General features: G+C 41.0%; 1 protein-coding gene and 1 long non-coding RNA gene across 5 annotated transcripts in view, besides 1 other annotated feature; one reads left to right on the forward strand and one right to left on the reverse strand.

The window, feature by feature from the left end:
• Nucleotides 1–19,132, reverse strand: part of CORIN (corin, serine peptidase) — a 244,067-nt gene extending 224,935 nt beyond the window's left edge. For all 3 annotated transcript variants that reach the window (NM_001278585.2, NM_006587.4, NM_001278586.2), the window contains exon 1: nucleotides 18,952–19,132. In NM_001278585.2, the coding sequence (NP_001265514.1) occupies nucleotides 18,952–19,014 (63 nt within the window). In that variant the 5' untranslated portion in view covers nucleotides 19,015–19,132. The remainder of the gene's footprint in view (nucleotides 1–18,951) is intronic.
• Nucleotides 5,514–7,100: an enhancer, noted in NCBI's record as "VISTA enhancer hs2414". NCBI's record gives its function as "enhancer in: heart[5/5]" and the evidence as "EXISTENCE:transgenic organism evidence [ECO:0001131][PMID:17130149]".
• LOC101927179 (uncharacterized) overlaps nucleotides 12,410–25,570 on the forward strand; it is a 65,504-nt gene continuing 52,343 nt past the window's right edge. For both annotated transcript variants that reach the window (NR_125880.1, NR_125881.1), the window contains exon 1: nucleotides 12,410–12,573. This is a non-coding gene — a long non-coding RNA (uncharacterized LOC101927179). The remainder of the gene's footprint in view (nucleotides 12,574–25,570) is intronic.

Consider the following 25,570-nt stretch of genomic DNA (forward strand, 5'->3'; position numbering starts at 1 on the left):
TATATTGAACAGGGTAAGATCTGGAAAATCAACATAAAATTATCCAATAATTCTTACGTATCAAGTTTCAGCCTGACACAGTTATTATAGGTGAGTACATAAGTACTGTGTGTGTAATATAATAGAAAATTTATGGAATTAGGAAAAAGAGAAGACATAGCAAAAATGAAAAATATTTAAAAGGGAGCTGGGCAACCCATAATAGATTGAGTCCAAGCCTAGGTTAGATGCGGATTTGAGAGGAGAACACCTTCTGGGTAGGAATTAGCCAACTCAGGAGGATAATGGTAGACAAGATTTACTTGAACATGAAAGCATTCAGCAGACCCAAAATCTACTCATATTTCTCACTATGGGAGACTTCACAAAGGAAGTCTAGAAGAGCAAGTTGGCAAAGATCATGGCCAGAAGACAAAGAGAAACTAAAAGCAAACTGAGCAAAAATTACTGAACCTACAGAAAATATAGATAGGAAATGACTAAATTAAGAAGGAAGTTAAACTCTTGCAAACTCAACAGGGCCTTCCTAGAGGAAGAGGGGACAGAGACAAAAATAGCCAGGGAAAGACAATCTCTTTACGAGGAGTAATAAAGGCTAATATGAGGAACCAACCATTCCTATGCAAAAAAGCAGGAGACAGAAGCAGCGAGAGACATGAAGGGAATCAGAGTCTCCCAAAAATGGGAAGGATAACGGGAGAGGAGAAATGATCCCATTAGCCTTAACTGGATAAGGGTTTCACAAGATCCTGATTCAGAATCAGAGATCAGAGGCATCCTGCATCTCATCTGTGTACCTTGATGCCCATAATTCCATTAATTCCCACCAGCCTTCTACCTCCAAATTCTACCTCCAAATTCTAGTCCCTGCTTTCCTGCCCTTAGGATCTGTGAGACATCAAATAAGCCAAAGATAAAATCCCCTTCGTCAGTTTAGCCAGTTCTAAGAGGTTTTCATAACCTATAATCATCAGAATGCTACCAAATACAGAATGCTCCCAATAATTTTATAGACCATCCAGGGGGATCCTAATTGAAACTGCTATTACAATCCTGAAGCCAGACAAGCAGCCCCATCTCCCAGGGTTTGGGAAATGTCCGGAGTATAAAAGTGCCTGACTCCGGAAAGTGTCACTTTCCTCCCCTCCCGACACATTCTTCTTTCAAATGGAACCATCCATGGTTTCAACTATTGTTCATGCCAGTTTAAATACATAGTGGCAGTCAAAAGAAAGAGAGAGGAATTTCTAGGAGCAAGAAAAGAAAGGGAAACTGAAAGCCAGAACAGTAAAAGTTGAGGCTAAGACATCCTGGAAATTAGGGTTAGAGGGAAATAATGAGGGTGAGGGGAGAAATTTTCTTGGACGTCAGACTAGGAGCTTGGGTCTGGGGTTTGAATGCCAAGAAAGAGACCTGAGAAAAGGCCTAGGTTAGGAGCTGGAAATGAGAACCTCAAATAAATCCAGGACTTTCACAATGCTACACTGTCAGTGAAAAGGAAGTTAGAAAGCTCCACTTAGCCCAAGGAAAGGACTAAAAAAGAGCATCCCTGTAAAAGTGAAAACAATAAAAAGCTCTTATGAGAAATGAAAAATTTGCTGTACAAATTTACATTGTACAGCAAGTGTAGAATTCCCAAGCTGTGAAATTAATATAAAAGTAGATCTCAGACTGGTAATTCTACTAGGGTGCCTATCAGAAGCAAACCAAAACCACTCTGCACTTCCGAAACTGCCCCCTGCCCGAAAAATGAGCTCACAATAAAAAATGTAAAACACATGAGAAAGTGATCTGATAAACTGTGCTAAGAGGTAGAAATAGAATATAGACAAGTCAGTAGTCCCTGTCCTTATGGAATACACGAACTATCAAGGGAAAAATAGAGTCAATTGTTACACAAATATTCATTTAATTACTATTGTGATTAATGCTATAGATTGAGTCATACTTTTTATGATTAAAAAATGCTATAGAAAGTACAGCATAAATAATTTATGGCAATGTGAAAAATGAACTCATGGCTGGGTGTGGTGGCTCACGCCTGTCATCCCAGCTCTTTGGGAGGATGAGGCAGGCGGATCATGAGGTTAGGAGTTCAAGCCCAGCCTGGCCAATATGGTGAAATCCCGTCTCTGCTAAAAATACAAAAATTAGCCAGATGTGGTGACGTGTGCTTGTAGTACCAGCTGCTCGGGAGGCTGAGGCAGAAGAATCGCTTGAACCCGGGAGGCAGAGGTTTCAGTGAGCCAAGATCATGCCACTGCACTCCAGCCTAGACGACAGAGCGAGACCCCATCTCAAAAAAAAAACAAAATGAACTTACAAACTGACCTCAACCTTTTTATTAAAATATGTTCAATTTAACTACAACAGAGAGCAGTCTCATGTTGAAAATACTTCAATGATTAGGAATATTAATTAATATTTATTATAGGTACTTATATATATATAATATTAGAATTATTATTTCAGTCATAATCAAATAATTTACCTTCCCCGCTTCTTTCCACTGATGGTTTTAAATATTTTAAATAATATGTTAATACATACTTATAAAAAAAACTGTCTGAATGTTTAATATTTATGATCGGAGTTCAAGGTATTAAGAATTATGTAACATTTTCTAAAATTATAAGAAGTTGATAAAAAGAAAAGAAGGCTTTTGAGAGTGTAGATCCCATTGTTCCATCCATCACATTTTTAAATTTTGTTTTGACGTCTTTCCACAGTTGGTATTCCCAAGCAAGAAAATATTTTTTAAATGATTGTCTCATTTCTTCCCAGCGCTAAAGTTATCTGTACTTTGAGACAAAACCAAACATAGAAATGATAAATGTTTTAAACTATGTATATTATAGATGCACCTAATTTGCTTATGAAAAGACAAACCTCCAGATCCAAATGAGAACAGACTAAACTAATTTAAAAGAGTTCTATAAATGTTTAATACTTGCCTAGCTTTCATGTATCAACTTTTATCCTTTTCAAAGGAAACACAATTAAGAATTGTGGATGTGAATTAAGGGATTATAAATAATCCTATTTTCAATTGAAGAAGTTAGGGGAAAGATATTTCATTTAAGATTAAGTTGTATATTAACAGTATACTAAATTGTTCACTACTTTCAAAAAGAAAAAATGTCCATGACTACAAATAAAGTTTGTCTTAGGGTAGATTTTTTAAAAATGCAAAAGTGAAATATCTCCTGAAATTATTAAACAAAATGTATTTACTTTTTTCCTTTTTAAAAAATTTAAAACACACATGTTTACAGAAGAGTTGAAGGTACAGTATAAGGAACTGACCCATTTTCTTCTGACTTTTCTTCTGACCCGTTTGATACTCAGTTGCTAACCAGATGCCTCACTGCTCCAGAATATATTAATGGATATTTCCTATAAACAAGGACATTCTCCTGCCTAAACACAACACAGCCATTAAAATGAGAAGATTACATTGATATATTGCAACCACCTAATTCTCAGACCCCACTGGTTTTTCCATTAGTCTCAATAATACCCCTTCTACCAAAAGGATCTAATTTAGAATCACAATTACATTTGGTTTTCACGTCTCTTTAGTCTTCTTCAGTCTTCTCTTATCTTTTATGACTTTCACAGTTTTGTAAATTACAGGCCAGTTGTTTTGTAGAATGTTCCTCAGTTGTGGTTTAGGATTAAATTCAGACATCTTTGGGAGAAATAACACAAAAGTGATGTTGCATTTTTCTCATTGAATCCTATCAATTTGTCCTTTTATTGATGACAGTCATATCCAACACATGATACTGTTGGGATGGGTCAAGCCTCCCCATTGTAACATTATTTTGTGGAGAGGTACTTTGAAACCATGTTAATATACCATCTCTTCAAACTTTCCATTTCTTTTTTTTTTTTTTGAGAGGGAGTCTCGCTCTGATGCCAGGCTGGAGTGCAGTGGTGCGATATCGGCTCACTGCAACCTCCACCTCCCGGGTTCAAGCGATTCTCCTGTCTCAGCCTCCCAAGTACCTGGGACTACAGGCGCGTGCCAACATGCCCGGCTAATTTCTGTATTTTTAGTAGAGACGGGCTTCACCATATTGGCCAGGATGGTCTCAATCTCTTGACCTCATGATCTGTCCGCCTCGGCCTCCCAAAGTGCTGGGATTACAGGCGTGAGCCACCGTACCCGGCCCCATTTCTTTTTTTATTCGCTTACATAAGCATGGACTACTGTTTTCCTATTTCATTCAATGGTTTATAATTTGTTACTATCATAATTTACTTAGATCCTCAATTTGCCCTCCATTTGGCCAATGGAAGTTCATTAAAGCTGGCTGCTGTGTCCTTGTGACATGCCCCATCATTCTTTGAGCACTTCCTTGCTTTTTGGAACAAGATGCTTTGAATTCATCTGCTACTAGCCTTGCATCACCCTTGGAATCAGCCATTTCTCCAAGGATCCTGGTTCCTTTTTGTAGAAAATGACATTTAAAAAACAAGATCTGAGGGCCCCTTGGTATGCATATGATGTGCTCATTGTTCCTGGGGTGGTGTTGTTCCCAGTTTCTCTCAGCAGAAAGAGCTATATGGAAAAATGTATTTATATTGTGTGTGCATTCACATATGTACACATACACATAGGCCTCTGTATTTATTTCTATATCTATCTTTACACATTGAAAACCAGATATTTATACACATATCTCCAGTTTCAATCCCATATCACAGAGGTCCAGATCTACTATACTTTCTATACTTTTAACCCCTTTTCCAACAGGGAGAAAGCTGGTTTATTGTTAATACATTTAATTGCTTGATCAATCCCCCAGTCTGTAACTAATTTCCCATGTCCCAGCCCCAGCTGCCATGTGGGCGCCATGCTCACCCTGTCCCAGACGCCGTGCTCATTCTGCCCTGGCTCTCCTATGCATGGACACCTTCCTCCTCCTACTCAGACCCTGAACCCCATCTTAGGTTGACCTCCACACACACCATCCTTACCCTGCTTAGGCACCAACATACTCTGCTGGCCACCTGTCCTTGTTGATGTGGCTGACGTGCTGCTGTCCCTCCCCACACTTTAGAACCCACCTTACTCTGTCCACTGAACCATTCAGGACTCAGTTGTTCACCAAGGAGCAAGGAATAGGAAAATCCAAAGTTTTGAAATCTATGGAAAGCAATCAATGCTATTCCTTTTTTTTTTTTTTTTACTCCTTTTTTCTCCTAAAGCATATATAAAGGAGAATAACAATACAAGAGCATTTTTAGGAGTGGCTGACATGAAATGATTTGAGAATATTGTTAGGAATATATGTTTCTTATTCAAAGAGCATTTTTGTTCCTCTTATTTGCATTCAGTTAATAGAGGTAGTGTTAAACAACAACAGAAAAAAAAAAAAAAAAATACACACACAGTGCTACCAGGAGGCCAAACAGGTAAGCTGAGCTTGTCATAAAACAACTCGGACCACTGACCAAGGCACACCCAGGTGAGATCTTGCAGGTCCTTTGTTGGGGCCACTTCACGTTCTCACCAGGATGCCTTAGGAAAAGCTTTTCTTTCTTTCTTTTTTTGCTTTGTAGAGACAGAGTCTCAGTATGTTGCCCAGGCTGGTCTTAAACTCCTGGCCTCAAGCAATCCTCTCCCTTCAGCCTCCCAAAGTGCTGGGATTACAGCCATGAGCCACCATGCCCCAGGTTCACCTTCTTTGTTTTAATTTCAAACAGGATGGAAACTCAATTCTATTGTTATGATTCTATTGTTCTGCAGAAGAGGGCAGAATAAAAAGCACCACAGGCCAGATTAGAGCTGTGTATCCAAGTCTAGATTTTGAATTCAAAAAACCACAAAGGCCAAGGGGAAAGAGAACGCTAAACTCTCAAGTTTGTCCTAACCTCTTTAGGGAATGAAACTGGACACAGCCAGACAGTCCTTCAGTCATTCCTAGCTTGAAAGATCCCTCCCCACTCTGCCTTGCTTACCCAACGTGGGCAGCTGAGTGTGACAGCTTTGAGGGGCCTCCCCAGGGCTATTTTTAACCTGGTGTTATCTGCTTACAGACTTTCCACCAGGGCAGCCGCAGGTCCAGGGAGTCACTCCACCTGGGAAATGTGAGCACACCGCTGGCCTGTGGCAAATGAGGTATTTTTAACTGAGACTTGAGAAGCTCAGAATTGTCATCTGCTTCAGGCCTCAGGGTGCGAGACACAAAACAGAGCCAAGCAAGAGAGGCTGTGTGCGGACTCTCCAGTTCCTTAGCAACCAATTGCTGGGCTTGTTGCTGGAGGAGGGCTCTGTAAGTGTCCGGATCAGCGATGGAAAGCCAGCCTCAGAGTCTTTCCTGGCAATTATGTGGCCCCCTCCCCATAGAAGTGAGGCCTGGGAGTCCCCCTTGCAGGCGAGGTATTCTGCCGGGCTTTCCCACACCACACCTATCTGCGGCTAATTAGCATCACCTGGGACTTGTTAGACACATGAATTCTTGGGTCTCAACCCAGACCTGTTAAATTAGAAACTGACAATGGGACCCAGCGATCCATGTTGGATCAGACCCTCCAGGTAATTCTCATGCACACTAAAGTTCTAGGATCACTGGCCTAATCACACATTCGCTAACATTCATAGATAAAGACGTAAGAGTAACACTTGAATCCCACCAAGCCCACATTGCAGTAATTCTTTTAAATGAATAACTTTTAGAACATTTTTACACTTACCAGAAAAAAAAAGTGAGCAGATAGTAAAAATCACCAGTAACTTTTTCAAACCACTGCTTTTTTTTTTTTTTTTTTTTTTAGATGGAGTCTCACTCTGTCACCCAGGCTGGAGTGCAGTGGCGTGATCTCGGCTCACTGCAACCTCTGCCTCCCAGGCTCAAATGATTCTGCTGCCTCAGCCTGCCAACTAGCTTACTAGATTACAGGTGCCCACCACCATGTCTGGTCAATTTTTGTATTTTTAGTAGAGACAGGGATTCACCGTGTTGTCCGGACTGGTCTCGAACTCCTGACCTCAGCAATCTGCCAGCCTCATCCTCCCAAAGTGCTAGGATTACAGGTGTGAGCCACTGAATCCAGCCAACCATTGCTTTTTTCTGCTGCTCACTGTACCCTAATAAGAAAACCTCCTTCCTCTGTTCGTCCTTAAAGGCAGTGATAAGACACCAACTGAGTTTTTGCCATCAAAGGCGGCAATTGGGTCAGAGAAAGAAATAGACCCCAGCGCTAAGGGAAGATAGCAGTAATGCACAAAAACCCTAGGAATGACTGCAAATGCCTACCCCAGCACAAGCTGAGATGAACAACTGTGATTGTCTAAGACTCTGCAGCCAGGGCAACACCTTCACAAAACACGCTTGGAAATGATGTGAATATTTGTGTATCAGTTATATAGTTGTTTCTTCTTGCTGCTGTAACAAATTACCATACACTTAGTAGTTTAAAGCAACACAAATTTATTGTCTCACAGTTCTGGAGGTTGGAAGTCTGAAATCAGTTTCACTGGACTAAAGTCAAGGTGTTATCAAGGCTGCTTCCTTCTGAAGGCTCTCAGGGGAAAATCTGTGTCTTTTTCAGCTTATAGTGGCTGTGTCTATTCCCTGGCTTGTGGCCCCTTCCTGTATCTTCAAAGCACATTTCTCCTCCCATCTCTACATCCACCATCACTAATTGTCACATGTGATTCTGACCTTTCTGCCTCTCTAAGGGCTTTGTGATCACATCAGGACCTCCCACATAATTCAAGATAATCTCCCCATCTCAAAATCCTTTATTTAATTACATTTGCAAAGTCCCTTTTGACATAGAAAATAATATTCACAGGTCTCAGGCATTAGTATGTGGGTTTATCTAGGGGGTCATTGTTCGGAACATCTCGCTCCATAAAGCCCTGTACCCTCTAATGCCATAGACACTCGCTATGTGTTGTCATTGAGCACCTGCAATGCAGCTCATTTGAACTGAGAAATGCTATAAGGGTAGTGAAATTTAAAGACTTGTTATGAAAAAAAGGTAAAAGATTTCATTAATAATTTTTATGTTGATTACATATTAAAATTATAAAATCTTGGATATATTGAGTTAAATAAGCTATCTTATTAAGATTAAATTCATCTGTTTCTTTTTGCTTTTTCAAGTGCAGCTACTAGACAATTTTAAATTACATCTGTGGCTAACATTATATTTCTATTGGAGCAGTCCTACTACAGACCATAAAGGAGGCAGGGTGACATTAACTTTCAGTTGTTTTATTTTTGCCTTACTTATAAGAGAGCCCAGACTTTGGAAGCAACATTTCTTCTTTCTCTAGAGAGAGCCACTAAATTCCTGCAATTAAGATGTCAATTCAAGAGAGATATTTTATTAGGGATATGCACAACTAGATAAGCGTAACAATAAAAAAAATACATTTATCCAGCAACATGCATTCTAATAAAGCATTTTCATTAATACATTCTTTCATTAAGTCCTCATTACAGCCTTGTAAGAGATGTATTATTCCAACTTTTCAGAGAAGAAAATGGAGCCTAAGGGAAATTAACTTGCTGGAGGAGCACCCAGTCAGTAAGTGATAAGCTAGAACTTGAGCCCATGTCTATGCACCTCTGCACCCAAGGCTGCCTGACTGATTTCCTGGTTTGGGTTTAGTGGTTTAATCAGGCTCACTCTACTTCCTGAGTGGTTTTACTTTCCACCCTCCTAAATTTCAGAGATCTCAGGATTTTCCCTTTCTACCTTAAAGTTCTGCTCTTTTGCTATTCTGAGCACATTTTTATTATGTTTTTTTAAAAATTATTTCTTAACTTTGAAGGCATAGGGGCATATTTCCCACCCAGTTATTTAAAGAAGATTTTCTCCTGTGTCACACTTCCTCAGCACCCAGAGGCACACCTGGCACCCAGCTTGATCCTGGGCCATCTGGTGGAAGAGCCCTGATACCAATGACTGTCTCTCCTCGTTCTGTTCACCACCCATAGCTGCATACATAGGTAAGATGTTCGGATCTGACCTCTAGCCAGAGTAGATACCCTCAGAGAAACCAGAGCTATGGTAGTTTAAACTGCCTCCCAGCTTTCCTCTGATCAGTCTTTTGGGGTTGAACAGGCAATTTTTCACTTTGGCAGAGGGTCACTGTAAGAAGAATTAGCAAATGCCCACTAAGAGGGAAGTGGACACTAAGGTCATGTAGGATGCCCCTTACCCAGGCAGCACTCCTATGGCATAATCAGAAGTATGTGTTTGTTTTTTTTCCCAATTCCTGACACAGGACTCCTTAAATCCCTTGGAATATCCTGAGTGATAAGAGTGATAAGAGCACCTTTTGTTCTAACTTTTGTTCTAACGAGGTGATTCTTGGATTCTTGAAAACTCCTAGCTAGCTTCAGGATAGGGGCTGGTCTCCAGAAAAACCAAACTTTGATTAGAAGCCTAGAGTTTTCAGCCCTACTCCCCAACCTCCTGGGAGGAGAGAGGGCTAGACATTGAATTAATAACCACATACTCATGCCTGTGTGATGAACAAAATCTCCATAAAAACCCCTAAGTGTCAGGGCTTAGAGTTTCTGAATTGGTGAACACATCTACATTCTGGGAGCACTCCAACTCCATGGGGACAGAAGCTCCTGCACTTTCTAAGGGCATTGTGATCACATCAGGACCTCCCAGATAATCCAAGATAATCTCCCCATCTCAAAATCCTTAATTTAATTACATTTGCAAAGTCCCTTTTGACAATTTTGACATATAAAATAATATTCACAGGTCTCAGGGATTAAGATGTGGGTTTATTCCAGGGGTCATTGTTCAGACCATCTCACACCATATAACCCTGTATTCTCTCATACCGCAGACATTTGCTACATGTCGTTATTGAGCATGTGCAGTGTAGCTCATTTGAATGGAGAAATGCTGTAAGGGTAGTGAAATTTAAAGACTTGTTATGAAAAAAAAAGGTAGGCCCGGCGCGGTGGCTCATGCCTGTAATCTCAGCACTTTGGGAGGCCGAGGCGGACGGATCACGAGGTCAGGAGATCGAGACCATCTTGGCTAACACGGTGAAACCCCGTCTCCACTAAAAATACAAAAAATTAGCCGGGCATGGTGGTGGGCGCCTGTAGTCCCAGCTACTCAGGAGGCTGAGGCAGGAGAATAGCGTGAACCCGGGAGGCGGAGCTTGCAGTGAGCCGAGATCGCGCCACTGCACTCCAGCCTGGGTGACAGGGCGAGACTCCGTCTCAAAAAAAAAAAAAAAAAAAAAAAAAAAAGGTGAAATATTTCATTAATTTTTATGTTGATTACATATTAAAATTATGAAATCTTGGATACATTGAGTTAAGCTATCTTATTAAGTTCAAATTTATCTGTTTCTTTTTGCTTTTTCAGTGCAGCTACTAGACAATCTAAAATTACATCTGTGGCTAACATTATATTTCTACTGGGGCAGGACCCTTCTGGACCTTCTGGACCTTCTGGACCTTGGCCTAGGCACCTCTTCATCTGGCTGTTCATTCGTATCCTTTATCATAAACCAGTGAATGTGAGTTAAGTGTTGTCCTGAGTTCTGTGAGCCATCAGGGCAAATTATCAAACCTGAAGAGGGAGGGAGTTATGGGAACCCCTGATTCATGGCCAATCAGTCAGAAGTGCAGGTGGCCCAGAACTTGCAACTGTCATCTAAAGTGGGGGCAGTCTTGTGGGATCTGGCACTAACTCCAGGTAGATAGTGTCAGAATTGAGTTGAATTATTGGACACCCAGTTGGTGTCAGAGAGTTGCAGCAGTGGTGTCAGGAAAGATACCATGCATCTGGTGTCAGGAAGGAAAAAACACACCACTTGTCAGCTATCAGAAAGGGAAGAGAGAAACAATAAAGTAAAATGGGACAGTGTCCTGCTCATTTTCTGCTGCCACATAAAAATTATAGCCTTTAGATTGAAAAAGGCCCTGAAAGAGTAAATAGTCCAACTACCTCATTTTACACAAGTAAACCAGGATCTAAAAGGTTAACTGACTTCTGTAAAATCTCAGCAACCTAATACCAACTTCTTATTGAACTCCCCTTTCTGATGATGCTTGACTTGGACAAAACTGTTTTAAAGGATGACAGAGAAATAGTAAATAAAACAATATAGCTTTGATTTCCAAACCACACTACAGAGAAGTAGCATCTTGCTCCCAGAATAAGGCTCTAAAATAGGCACATGAAGATGAAAATCATGTACTGTCAAACTAATCCCTGAAAAGCCTTAAGAGAGTGTCACATTGGAGACCAATGTAACTTCCAACAATAAATCCCACATGGTGTTTGTTTTTTTTTTGTTTCAGAGCTGGAACAGGCTCATCGGTTGAGTACCAGATTAATTAATTGGCTTGAGGTTAGGGAATAAAATGGCACAATCTTTAAACCCAGGATCACACGTGGAACTGCAAAAAGGATACACATAAAAGGCACCAGGTTCTGAAACTAATGGCAGATTCCTTTCTCTCATCTTTTGCTCTTACTCCAGGACACTGAATAGAATGACTCATATTAATTAAACATTCATCTCTCCTCCCTGCACTCATGGTTTAGGGTTTATTGCTTAGTTAGAAACCAAGCTTCACAAGTGCATGAATCCCTGTTTTGTTCATAGATGTCTCCTAAGTGCCTAATAATATACCTGTCACATAAATGTTTGTTAAATAAGGAGATGAATGTATTCTTTTTGTCCAGCCTGTATAGTTGAATTCTCATACATTAAAGCTATTTAGGTCTAGCTATGGCTTTCACTTCTTGGGAAGTTGTGGTGCTATTACCAGAAAAATTCAAACAGAACTATGCATAAAAAGATTTTTCACCATTCAGGAGGTTCTTGGAGTCTCAGATTAAGATTTCCTGGTACTGTCAATCTCTATCTATGACACTTCAGCAGAATGACACTTTTGTGGCTTCAGAGACACTGACACCTACTTTCATAGCTGCATAGGACTTTAAAACTCCCCCAAAGTGCTACAAACAAAAAGTACTCTTCAAGTGCTGTCAACCTAAAGGTTAACAGGTTGAAGGGACCCTGGGCTAAGGAAGCACAAGCTGGAGACACCAAAATGGTCTTCGCAACTCGCCTCTATATTTTCTGCCCTGCTCCTAAGCCAGCCTGTTGGCCGACTGGCCCTTCTCCACAGATGTCATCTTGAGCCTCTTACAGAGTTTCAGCACTGACATTAATGACAAGATGGATCACCTACAGGACAACCTTGGATCCTCAACCAGCCTGATTAAGCATTGACACTGCATTTGTCACCACCAGCTCTGATGGTTTGGACATGTAGAAATGTATTGCAGGAGAATATGCAAACAGCTGCTGTAAGGTGAGCTGATCGGGACAACTGCCAGCAGGCAGAAGGGAAGGCATAATTAATGGGCACCCTTCAGCAGAGCTCAGAGCAGACCAAACGCCAATGCAGAAGGCTCAAGAAAGAGGCAAACAGACTAGCCACTGCTCCAGGATGACTGTGGCTCTTTATGAGTGAAGAGAAAGGGTGGAGACTGAAGACAGAACTGGGGACAGTGACAGGCTTGGGGAAGAACAGCTGATTCAGCAGTCCCAAGGTGAGTCATCCCATGTGTTCCACACCCAGGTAGAAAGCGCTCATTAGCAGAACATAATCTCCCAACCTGCATGATGATCGTCTGTCCATGAGAATAATAAACATTACAGATTGTGCTTGCACTAAAGCAGATTTAGTAAAGCCTCAGGAACAGAATATACTTCATGGGGTAAGAAATCCAGCTAGGGAAAAGACTGACCTATCTATGCATCTGTAATGGGTTGAATAGTGTCTCCAAAATATATGTTCACCGAGAACCTCAAAATGTGTCCTTCCTTTGCATATAGGGTCTTTGCAGTTGAAGTTAGTTAGGACAAGGTCATACTGGATTAGGGTGAAGCCTAAATCCAATATGACTGATGTTCTTATAATAAGAGAACACACAGAAACACACACCAGGAAGGCCATGGAAGTAAAATATATAGTTTGTCAAATGAGGATGAGTTCAAGAAGGGGTCCTACGTAGTGAGGTGGAGTATTAGTTTTTAAGCCTGATTAAATTAAACACTTGGTGGATCTTTCCCCCAAACATTGTACTTAGTATTATAGTGCTTTCATTCTTGTAAAAAATGGTACAACATGTAGGAGTACATATGGAGGGAGAAGAGCCTCCTTCTGTTGTATTAGTTTCTGCTGTAAAACCAGGAAAATCATCGGCCATAAAGCTCATAGGGAGGGAAAAGAACAATACATAAGCAAAATCATCAAGGCTGAAGGGGAGAACTCAGAGGATTATGTGACTAATACTCACTTGTCAGTGATTTATACATCAATCTGGCCATTTACTATTCAACAAATGCCTAGGCCACGTAAGAGACCTCAACAAACGGAAGTGATTCTGCTATAGGAAACCACTTCTTAAAAGAAAAAGAAGCAAATAGAGGTGCTTTACAGGAAAACTTTTTCTTTTCTTTTCTTTCTTTCTTTCTTTTCTTTTCTTTTTTTTTTTTTTTTTGAGATGGAGTCTCGCTCTATCACCCAGGCCGGAGTGCACTGGGATGATCTCGGCTCACTGCAGCCTCTGCCTCCCGGATTTAAGCAATTCTCTTGCCTCAGCCTCCCAAGTAGCTGGGACTACAGGCAGGTGCCATCACGCCCTGGTAATTTTTTTGTATTTTTAGTAGAGATGGTGTTTTGCCATGTTGGCCAAGCTGGTCTCGAACTCCTGACCTCAGGTGATCCATCTGGCTCAGCCTCCAGTAATCCCAGTGAGCCACTGTGCCTTGGCCTAGGAAAATTTTTATCATCCTAAAATCTTATATCATCACTCAAGCAAAAGAAAGCTCTAGAACTGCCTGAGAGAACAGCCTGCAACGAAGGAGATCATGTATCTGTGCTGCCCAATACAGTTGCCACCAGCTTTATAAAATAACTGAGCACTTAAAATGTGCCCAAGGAGACTGAAGAAATAAATTTTTAATTTGATTTAATGTTGATTAAATTTAAACAACCACAATTGGCTAAGAGCTACTCCATTGCATCACATGGCTCTAGAGTCACAGAAAGCTGCCTGTGGAAAAAGTCTTGAGACATTTCTCACCAAGTCTAGGATGAGACTGGATCCTCAAGTAAAAACAGATTAGGAAACAAATCACCAAAGCAATTACGAGCAAGAAAAAAAAAAGCTAGAGGTATCATACGTCATGATTTCAAAATATATTACAAAGCTACACTAATCAAAACAGTATGGTACTCATATGAAAACAGCCATATGGCCAAACAGAAGAGAGATCCCAGAAATAAACTCATACATACATAGTTGACAAGGATGCCAAGAATATACAATGGAGGAAAGATATGTCTTCAACAAATGGTGCTGGGAAAACTGGCTACACATATGCAAAAGAATAACATTGGAACTTTATCTCATGCCATGCACAAAAATCAAGTTAAAATGGATTAAAGACTTAACCATAAGACCTGAAACTGTAAAATTTCTGAAAGAAAACATAAAGGAAAATCTTGACATTGATCTCGGCGATAATTTCTTGGATACGACACCAAAAGCATAGGCAAAAAAAAAAAAAAAAAAGCAATAATAACCAAATAAGATTATGCTAAACTAAAAAGCTTCTGCATAGCAAACGATATGATCAACAAAATGAAAAGGCAATCTATAAAGTGGGAGAAAATATTTGCGAATCATATATCTGATAAAGGATTAATATCCAACATATATAAGGAACTCCTTCAATTCAGTAGCCAAAAAGCTAATAGCCTGATTTTAAAATGGGAAAAAGACCTAAATAGACATTACTCCAAAGAAGACATAAAAATGGCCAGTAAGTATATGAAAGATGCTCAACATCACCAATCAACAGAGAATTACAAATCAAAACCACAAAGAGATTTCAGCCCTTTGCCACTGTTAATGTGATCAAAAAACAAAAGATAACAAGTGTTGGATGCCAAGAAAATGCATCTCTTGTATATGGTTCATGGGAATGTAAATTGGTGCAACCATTATGGGAAAGAGTATGGAAGTTCCTCAAAAAAATTAAAAATAGAACTATCATATGATCCAGCATATGATACCAGCATACAGTATAGAACTAACATATGATCCCATTTCTAGATATGTAACCAAAGAATTTAAAATTGGGATCTTGAAAAGACATCTGCATTCCCATGTGCATTGCAGCATTATTCACAATAGCAAAAACATAGGAGCAGCCTAATGTCCACTGATAGATGAATGGATAAAGAAAAATGGGGTATATATAAACAGTATGTATATATACATACAGTACAATATTACTCAGCCTTAACAAAGAAACAAATCCTACCATTTCTGACAGCAGAGATGAACCTAGAGGACACTATGCTAAGTGAAATAAGCCAGACACAGAAGGACAAATACTACATGATCCCACTTAATTGAGGAATCTTAAAACAGTCAAACTCATAGAAGCAGAGAGTGGAATGGTGGTTTCCCAGAGGAGGAGGAAATGGGGAGGTATTGGACCAAGGGTATAAAGTTTCAGTAATGCAAGATAAATAAGTCCTAGAAATCTACTACACAGCATGGCTTCTGTAGTTAAGAATACTATATTCTATACTTAAAAATTTGCTAGGTGGGTAGATCTTATGTTAAGTGTCCTTATAACAAAATAATAATAACAATAATAAAGATGGCAGAAGGGAACTTTTGAAGATGATGGATAGGTTTGTGACATTAATTGTGGTGACGGTTTTATAGATGTATACTTGTTTCCAAACCTATCACATTGTTTACATTAAATATATACAGGTTTTTGCTCGCCAATACTTCAATAAAGTAGTTTTTTAAAAAAAGGTTAGGGAACCTTCACCAGAATATACCACTATTACATAAAGTACTTCTAGTACGTATTCCACAGTCTGCAGTGTCCTTACCAGTGGTCAGTAGTACCATCTACATTTTCTGACCAAGGAAACTGAGGCCCAGCAAGATTATTTGACTTGCCCAGAGCCTTGCGGTTCTTAAGGGGCAGAGTCAGAGGTCTGACACCAAAGCTCCTACTCTTCCCACCAAGGCAGGTCATCTACAGCACCTTCTACTCTTAAGGGGTCTGCCATTTCCACCCTCTCTGAACAGACATAAAACAAACAAGTGTATTATGTCTGTGTGTGTCTTTATGTGAGTGTGTAGACTCTGAGGAACAGGTAAGTCTTGGAATCCCTTGAGTGTTTAGTGTGAACCTAGTATGTTTAGCCAGCCAGTATCAGGTCAGTACCCTTTAGCCAGCCAGCCTCATTTTCCATTTGGTCCAGCAAAATGGAATGCCAAGAATAGTGATGGGGCTAACAGGATGCATGAATCCATACTTGTTGAATAACTTATTAGGTAGAAGTAGCAGGTCAAACAAACCTTTCCCCCTCAGATACGCTCAGCAACAATTCAGTGTTGCGGCTCTCCTGCTCCTCAGAGAGCTCTTATTACCCCAGCAGTGGGGACACTCAGAAACCCTAAGACCACAAGTCTTTGTGTTGAAAGAGGCTACAAGTGCGGAAAAGAGGAAAAATAAGGAAAGGAGTACCTCATTAACAGTATGGAGATTTGAAAGTACAGGCTTTTGAAAGTGACTCTCTGAAGCTCCTGGGCCACTCAGCTTCTCCTCTAACTTCCTGTCTGCCCCCAACAGTGGGGGAGGTCAACAGAGGGGCTGGCCAGTCAATAGAACTAGCAACTGCTGAAATCCACATGAAGCTATGGTGGAGAATGTGACCCTTCCAAAAGGAAACCACAGCTGGTTGTGGAATGCAAGATGCGGAAGCACTGATGCCTGCCTTCTATGCTGTTGCTATTGTGATTTCTGCAGCATTATGAGGAAGGTTTCTGATGGAATGAATTTTGCATCTTTTAAGAAAGTGTCTCTGTACCTGGATATGTGCTTGATAAGGTTAATAGAGCAATTCTTGGTGTGTCTTTTTAACCCACAGGAAGGTTAACAGAGGCTTTCATCGTTGGTCCTGTAAGCCTACCCTGAAAGGAACTTTCTGGAAAGAGTCCCCTCCCCCTTAAAAAATGCCTTATAGAATCTTGGGGTTTTGAGGTTGATGTGTTTCCACACCCAAATAACCCCAAAATAGTTCATCCTATTGAAATTCTTGGTGTCCTGGAAAGCATTCTATGGAAAACCTGCCTGGTCAGCCAAGCCCACACGTGAGTCTATGCAGACATCTCCTCTAACCTCGCAAGCCCCAGGAACCTCCTCTAACCTCTCAAGTCCCAGGATCTGAGGACCAATTTTTAGCACAATCTCACACAACAAACCTATTGGGCACCTAATAATAGAAACAAGCTAATGAATGTTTTGACTGTGACAAAAAAAAATGGTTTAATAACTTTTTATAAATGCATTGTTTCTTCTCATTGTCTCAGGGTTATGCCAAAATTAATTTCAAAACTATCTGCTTAAATGTGTCCTTGGACAATAATCACCAGTAAGTCCTGACTTCACCCCCTTTCTGGTAGCGGTCTGACGTTCCTTTGCAGAGTTTCGCTTCCATCGATAAGTTACTTTAAATAAAAAGTTAAAATAAAAACTAGAAGCCACAATTGTGCCTATGTCAGTCATCGAAGTCTTGTACAGGAGTCCGTCTTCGCAGCGCATCGTTCTCAGAAGTTTCCCGCGGGAGGAAAGCTCCACTTTATGAATTACTCGAACAGCTTCCCTGGGAATGCCCAGCCCCGAAGCTTCCCTGCTGAATTCAAAGTCAGAGCTCCCAGGGCTCGGTCCCAGGAACCGGGAGCCGTGCAAAAAGCGCGTACACTGCCATCCACTGGCCCCGAGCAGGTAGTAGCAGGAGTGAGGCGCCTGCCACGGGAGCTCAGGAACTGGGTCCCAGTAAGATCCGACAAGACACCACCTCCCTTCCGCCCGCACAGCCTGCCCTCTCTGCCTGCAGCTAGCGTCACCGGTCGGTCCCCGATTCGGAGCAGCTGGGACCCTCGCGGTAGCAAGCGGATTCCGGGGCCCTAATGACACCGAAGGAGAGGGGCAGCCGCAAATTAGACCTTCTTCCTGGGGGCTCAGGCCAGTAGGGACTGTCCGTGGTGCCCTTCCCTTTCTTTCTCCTCCTGAACGAGAGCCAACGCTGCCCCTTCCCAGGACTGGATCTGAGCCAACCAAATCCTACAGCGCAGAGCCTGCGCCCCCGGCGGCCAGCCCTCCTGTGCCTAGGCAGGTTCACGCCGGAGAAAGTTTGCACGCAGGGACCTACAAGTTCCCAGCACTCTGCAAGAGGGCCAGTTCTGGGATGCCAGCACTTAGGACGGGCGAGTGATCCCCAGGCACCAACTGGGGGCCGGGGAACCAAGCGCGAGCCCGGGCTGTGGAGGGACCGACACCCAGGCGCTCGCAGCTGGGGAAGGGGGCTTACGTCTGGGGCAGGCAAGACTGCTGCACAGTCCCTCCAGCCACCCGGCGCCCGAGACGCCGGCGCAGACAGGAAGCTGTAGATCCCCGAGGGGCTGGCTCCGACAGCTCCACCTGCAGCCTCCCCTGCCGCCAGTGTGCAGCCAAGTCCACTAGATGCTTGGAGGGCACCGTGCGGAGGAGGGACTCTGCAGGAAAGGTGGCATCACCCCCGGCATGGAGACCGGGGTCTCCGGATCGAGCCGACTCGAACACTGAAGGAAACCCTGCCCATGACCCTGGGAGGGTCTCGGACGCCGGGCGACCGGGGTGGTGGTCGGGACCAGGGCCGTGCGCCTGGGAACTGGGTGCAGGGCGCTGAGCGCGGAACTGTCAGAGCGGGAGCTCACCGGCGGCTGGGGAAGGAGGTGGCATCGGGCGGAGGAGAGGACGGGGGCGGGAGGGGCTGACCCTGAATTCACCGGGACTAAGAGGCCATCACACCTGGCTGCGGTAGGACAGCGAATCATCGATCTTACCGGCTTTGGGGACCCGGCTCTGCGGCAGCGCTCTTCCGGAGCGAGGGCAGGAGACTGTTTCATGGATAAAAAGTCTCGCTTATTCTTCTGTCCACTTTTATCTTGGTCGCTTTTCTCTCCTCTACGTGTCCCCCGGGGAGGCACTACGGATGATTTTCTCCAAGCTCAAGAGAGACAAACTGAACTTTAAGCGCCAGGGGCCCCATATTTTGTCTGCTCTACAGATCCCACCCGCGGGCCACACCCTCCCTTCACTCCCGTCTCTGGGTCCCACCCATAATAACCCGTAATGACAGATCCTCCGTGTCCCCACCTCTTTGCATTCAAAGAAGTTATTCTTCAGGGGCATATGGAAAGTCAGTTTCTGCTGGTCTCCCTCAAAAACTTACACTCCACGAGGGCAGCAGAAAAGGACAGGACGATTAAGTTTAAGTTGTGGAAGACTGGTTGGGAGCAAAAGAGTTACTTTTCTCCAAATTTGCCATATCACATCGAAAGCATTTTCTTTTAACCAGAGTGTAGCCAATCAAAATTAACTGCAGGCGCTGGCAATTAAAGAACAAGTTTATCTCAAAAAAGGTTTAACGTTTGGAGGCCATTATTTGCATCAGGCATATGGAAACTTGCGTTCTGTTAGGTATGCTGAAGAAACTGCTTTTGCCAGACTGCCTGAGTCTTTGCTGAGGCTGCAGGGACAAGGGAGAACCCCACCCTGACTGCTTCCAAAACCCTAGTTCCTGATTTCCTGCAGAGGGCACCTACAGGCTGAACCTAAAAGGCGAACAAATTCCTGCCTGTCATTCAAAAGCAGCTACCTTTTCTAAGGCAGCGTCAAGGAGGGCACTGGAGGTACTCAACACAGTAATGATTACTTTACCAAGTCCAAGGCAATTGTCAAATGTGGCAAAGAAAAACACTTCATTGGGTTTTTCTTAGAAATGATTTTTCATCCAATTTCAATCAAGATCTTAATGGAAATTTTGAAAATTACTCATGAGGTTATTTAATAAATCCATCCCCATTATTTAAAGAAAGCCATGTAAAGACAACAAAATATGGGCCAAGCACTTGTTCTTGAACATTATTGCTGAGAAAAAAATATGCATTTGTAAAATGGGGGGGGCAGTATTTTGTTTCTGAAGTGAGATCAAATGTAGAAAATATTGCATATGTATAGTAAAATGACTGAAACACTGATTCCATGTTATTCTAACATCCGATTTGTAAACCAGTATCTGACAAATTTATCATAATTCACAATAATTCAGTTCATATTATGTGGCAGGTGTCATACTAAGCACTTTACATGTATTCTTTCAGTTCCACCAACTACTCTGAGGAAGAAGCTATTATTTTTATTTTAGAGATAAGAAAGCAGATTCAGGGAGCTGAAGTGAAGTAACCAGCCTACGCAAGCTAGCAAGAAGCTGAGCTGGGATTCCCCCGAGGCAGTGACTTCTGGATTGTGTTCTTACTAAGATACTACCTCATCACACACCATCACCGCAGTGCCAGTCTGGGAATCAAGAACTGTGAGCAAATCACATAGTCTTTCTGGGCCACAGTTAACTCAGCCTATAACATAAGGGCTGGATTCAATTGCTAAGGTTTCTACAGGCATTCTGAGGCCAAGTACAAGTTTCTATTTCATCTTCTTTCTCTTCCACTTTCTGCCCTCTGGTGGAGGTGCTACAGGGACTATGAAATTAAAGTAGCTACGTCAGTGGATTTGAGATAGGGTCGATCAGTCTCCCTCACTTTTCCACTTTTAGTTCCTCTGAGAACTAAAGCTAATTGCATTAATGGTGTAAAATAAACATTTTTTAAACTTCCTTTTAGCAAGAAAACCCAACCAGTTCTAGTTACCAACAGCACCAGAATTAATACCTGAGGTATTCTTTGCATGAAGGTAATGACATAAAAAATGAGGGTAAAGATGTTTTATATTCTTTATAATAAACTTTTAAAATGTCAAGAATCATAAACTATTAGAAGTCTCAAAACATATTCAAACTGATTTGAATATGCAGTGTGCTCATTAAAATGTCAAGAATCATAAACTATTAGAAGTCTCAAAACATATTCAAACTGATTTGAATATGCAGTGTGCTCATAGTAATCTTTAATGACCTATTTGAATTATTCTTTAAAAAAAACTAGCTACATTTGCATTTCAGCTTCAAGTGACAACCATCATCTAGTTTCTTAAAATAATTTTACAAAAAGAAACATTTCTAGCCTATTGAAACTTTTATTGTCTAGCACTTCAAGCATACATCCAACTAGTTAGATAATTTAAAAGAAAACACACACAAACCTTGAAGAGATTTATGGAAAAATTAAAGATATTGAATATACCTCAGGAAACGGTGATTTTACAGAGCAAACTTCAGCCACATATCACATTACAGATCAAATTAGTACTTAGTACTACAACTGAAGACAATTTAAGAACAAGAAGAGATCACGGAGAAGCAAGCAGCATCCCAGGATGATAACAGGCAAGCAGTAGCTAAAACAGATATGCTACCCCATGGCTCATCTATTTAGCTATTCATTCAACTAATACTTATTTTGGGTTTGCTGGCTGCCAGATGAACAACCTAGACAGAGTTCCTGCCCTCACCAAGACTTTCAGTCTTGTGGAATGTATTAAACAAATACACAAACATGTAAACTATGAAAAAATACTTGCAAATAATGTGAGAATAGCTTTGGGGAGTTAGAATGTAATATTTTCAGCTGAGATATAAAGATACAAAGCCTTCAAAATAAAAAAAATTAAAAACAGCAAGAAAAAGGTAAACTGGAAATTTACCTGTTGCAGAGAGGGGAGAGTTTATTTAGTCAAAAGGGGGAAAACAACATACCCATATGTACTATAATACACTCTAGCCCATTGATATATTCAGTATCTGATAAAACAATTTGTGTAGATCTTCTGTTTGATGTACATAATATTTCTGGGACATCAATCCCCTACTCTAATATACCACAGTAGTCATTGGGAAGGAGGTAATATATGACCCTGTAAGAAATTTCAAAGGAATTTTATTTTTAGTCCTCTCACACATCTAGTGCTATAGAGGGGTCCCATAACTGCAATTTCACTGCCTAAATATGCCCCTACCTTTGGCCAGCATCCCACCCAGTCCTCCCTCAATGACGTGGAGCTCCCTCAATGACATGGAGCTCCCTCAATAACAGTAACCATATGTGCAAAAACTGAGATGCCTCACCTCACCTCACCTCACATCTGATGCCTCAGATTTTTTTTCTGATTTGTGAATCAATTTGAGATGTCTTAAAGTTATGAGGTAAAGTCACATATCTATATTATTGTAGCTAAGCTATTCTATGTACTATGTGCCAGGCACTTCATAAAGTGACATATAATTTTCTAGGTTTTTCATTCTTGAAACAAATCTAGTTTCCTTTGTCATAAAATGAGAAGTGTAATAGGCTCACCTAATACGGTTGTTATGAGGATTACATATAGAAAGTGCTTTAAAATAGCTATAGACACATAATAATAGTTAAAACTTATTGGGCACTTACTGTTATTTCTTATTGTCACCATTTTACAGAAGAAACTGAGGCTTACAAAGTTAAATAGCTTGCCTAAGAGCTCACAAGTAGAAAGTGGTAGAAGCAGAATTGGAGCCTAAAAAATCTGGGACCACAAACTAATCCTTATGTTCTGTAGCAGTTATTAAGAGAAGACTGTGATGAAAACATCCAAGGGGTTTACAGCTTAGAATACACTCTGAATTTTCATTCACCCAATAAATATTTACTGAGCACTGTAGTAGGTTAGTGTCCCCCCACTACTCCCTGCCAAATTAATGTCCACCCAGAACCTCAGAATGTGGTTCTGTGGAAATAAAGGCTTTGCAGATATAATTTGTTATATCTTGGTTTGGGACTTCTGGCCACCTAAACTGTGAAAGAATAAATTTCTGTTGTTTTAAGTAACTCATGTATGGTATCTGTTACAGCAGCCCTAGGAAACGAATACTAGCATCTACTATGTGGCCAGGCTTCTCTACTCTGAGGTTACAGTAATAAACAAAACTGCACTCCTGCCCTCATGAAGCTTACATTCCAGGGAAGGAGGCAGATAATAAACAGACACTTAATATGAGGACAGGTACTATTTAGTGCTATGAGGAAAAAGTATTGTGAGAAGATAGAGGATGACCAGATGACAGTGACTGGGGGGGGGGGCTTTGGAAATATTAGGTGATGTATTAAGAGAATACATATATGGGATACAGAGGTGTTAACTCAAATGAATCTGGACTGTGGAGTTTCAAACTGCATACAATCCTTCACAGCACGACTTAAATTACTAATTGGAAACTTAGCAAGAAGAGAAGCTTAGTAAGCAATAGACCTGAGCTTGTTCAATAAGCCAAGATTCTAAAATATGTAAAAATGGCTTCCCAGGTGGACACCTGGTCTTGCTTGTCTCTTTAAGTTGCTGGAAATCACAGGGTCTCTCAGTTCCTCCCACCACTCCCAAATTCTCGCATCTTTTCTAGGAGGTAGTAGCTAGTACTTTGCTTCTTCCTCACCCTGGAAGCTCCCCAGCCTCATAAGCCTTGGGTCTTAGAGTGGTCTAATCACTGCCACTCGATAAAGACTGCAACTTCCACAGACCCAAGAAGAGACAGAGCTATCTCATGTCAACTCTAGCTCTACAGCTTAGACATCTGCTTCAGTTCCCAATATCCAAGGACAGACAGACATTAACAGCTAGAGTCACCTGGGTCCTCAGAGGTTCTTTTTACAGCCTTCCTTTTACTGTCCTATACCTGGTCACAGCAATTTTGGCTACTGCTGCATTTTTAGTGTTCTTGGTTTAACACCCAACTAATTCTTTGTTCTTCTGGAGATCAGCATACAGCATCTCCCATTGTTTTAATAATCTTGATTATAAAAGGATGGATGAGGCCCAAGCACCCTAAAAAGTCACCCTTGGCAGTGGGCTAGATCCCCCACATGGGTGGCCTGGCTTAATCTTCACCTGTTTGCTTATGTGGAAGAACCCACAACACAGACCATATGCATAGTGAGGACAGAATCTTCTATTAAGTTCATCACTGTGCCAGGTATCTAGGCAAAGAAAAAAAATATTTCTCAAAGAGAAATGGAACACTTTAAAATAAATCTCTTCAAATTTTGTCTTAAATAGTATATCTATTTCCAAATAAAGCCTGTTTCTGGTATTACTCATGAGCATTTAAAATAACATGAAGAGCCAAAAAATTCTTATATGTCATCTCTCTCTAAACACTAGCACAGAGATTAATCTGTATTTAAAATTTTTAACCTTCATAGCCATTAAGTTCAAGCATCATAACTTCTTTATAGAAGGGAAATGTTTTCACTGCTTTGCCTCAGCAAAATTCCTTTGACAATTTCAGTAGCAATTGTACTTATTTGAGATTGTTTTCATTTAATTTAGATGTGAAATTAACTGAAAAACAGTTTGTCAATTCTGAAAAGCATTTAAACCAAAAAAATCTAAAGATTTCAATATACATATTCCACAGATTTCAAATAGGAAGCTCATACACTTTGTTAATGCCACAAGTAAGGAGGAAAACAAGACCACCACATTCACAATCTTAGGCCATTGTTAGTGGCTATTTGGTAACTTTTTCCATTCCTTCTCTAATTCGCTCAGATTGAACCTAAAAGGACAATATGCATTACTTTATTTCCCTCAGAACAAATCAGTATAACTACTTAGATAAAACTTAACTTGTCTCTGCATCATTATAGTCTTTTCTCTATATCGTAGCCAGCGGTCTTTAAAAAAAAGTCTCTTCCTTGTTTAAAGCCTTCCAATGCTGTCCATTGCAACTCAAATACAACTCAAATTTCTTACCCTGGTCTATCAAGCATGACATAAACTGGCCTAGACACATCCTCCTCTCAATTTAAATTTCATTAGGCTCCAGCCACACCAGCCCTTCTTTCTGCTCCTCAGGTGTGCCAAGCATTTCCCAAACTGGGGACTTTGTACTTACTGCTTTCTCTCGTATAGATTTTTCGCTGATCTTCAAATGGAGGTCATTCAGGTCACGGCTCTAATATCCTCATCTCAGAGGGATTTTCCCATTCTAAATTAGCCAGTGTCCTTGTATCCCCTACTTCCACCACATTCTATACCATTCCTCTTATTTTCTTGAATACCACTTACCACACATAAAATCACGTTTTTTTATGTCTATTACCTGCCTGTGCTTGTCTGTGCCTTAGCAACAATATAGGAGGAAAGATCACCATTATCTCCAGAACACAGAAAGTTCCTGACATATAGGAAACACATCTGTTGACTGAATAAGTGAAGGAATAGTTGTGTGACTTTGGGTAAATAAGTTACACTCTGAGCTAGCCAAAAAGATGAAAAAACAACAAACAACTTCATATACCATTCATTCAGTCTCCTTCCTCTGCTCCTAAATTCTTTTCCCCAAATTAGGAAAAACAATTTAGCTAGTACCGAAGCCCTACAAACAACAGATATGAACTAGGTTTCATGTTCACTTAATAGGCCAAGATTCTGACACAGATGGAAATGACTTTCCACGTAGACACCCGGTTGTTC

This window comes from Homo sapiens, chromosome 4 (assembly GCF_000001405.40).
Source record: "Homo sapiens chromosome 4, GRCh38.p14 Primary Assembly".
In the NCBI taxonomy this organism is placed as follows: Eukaryota; Metazoa; Chordata; class Mammalia; order Primates; family Hominidae; genus Homo; species Homo sapiens.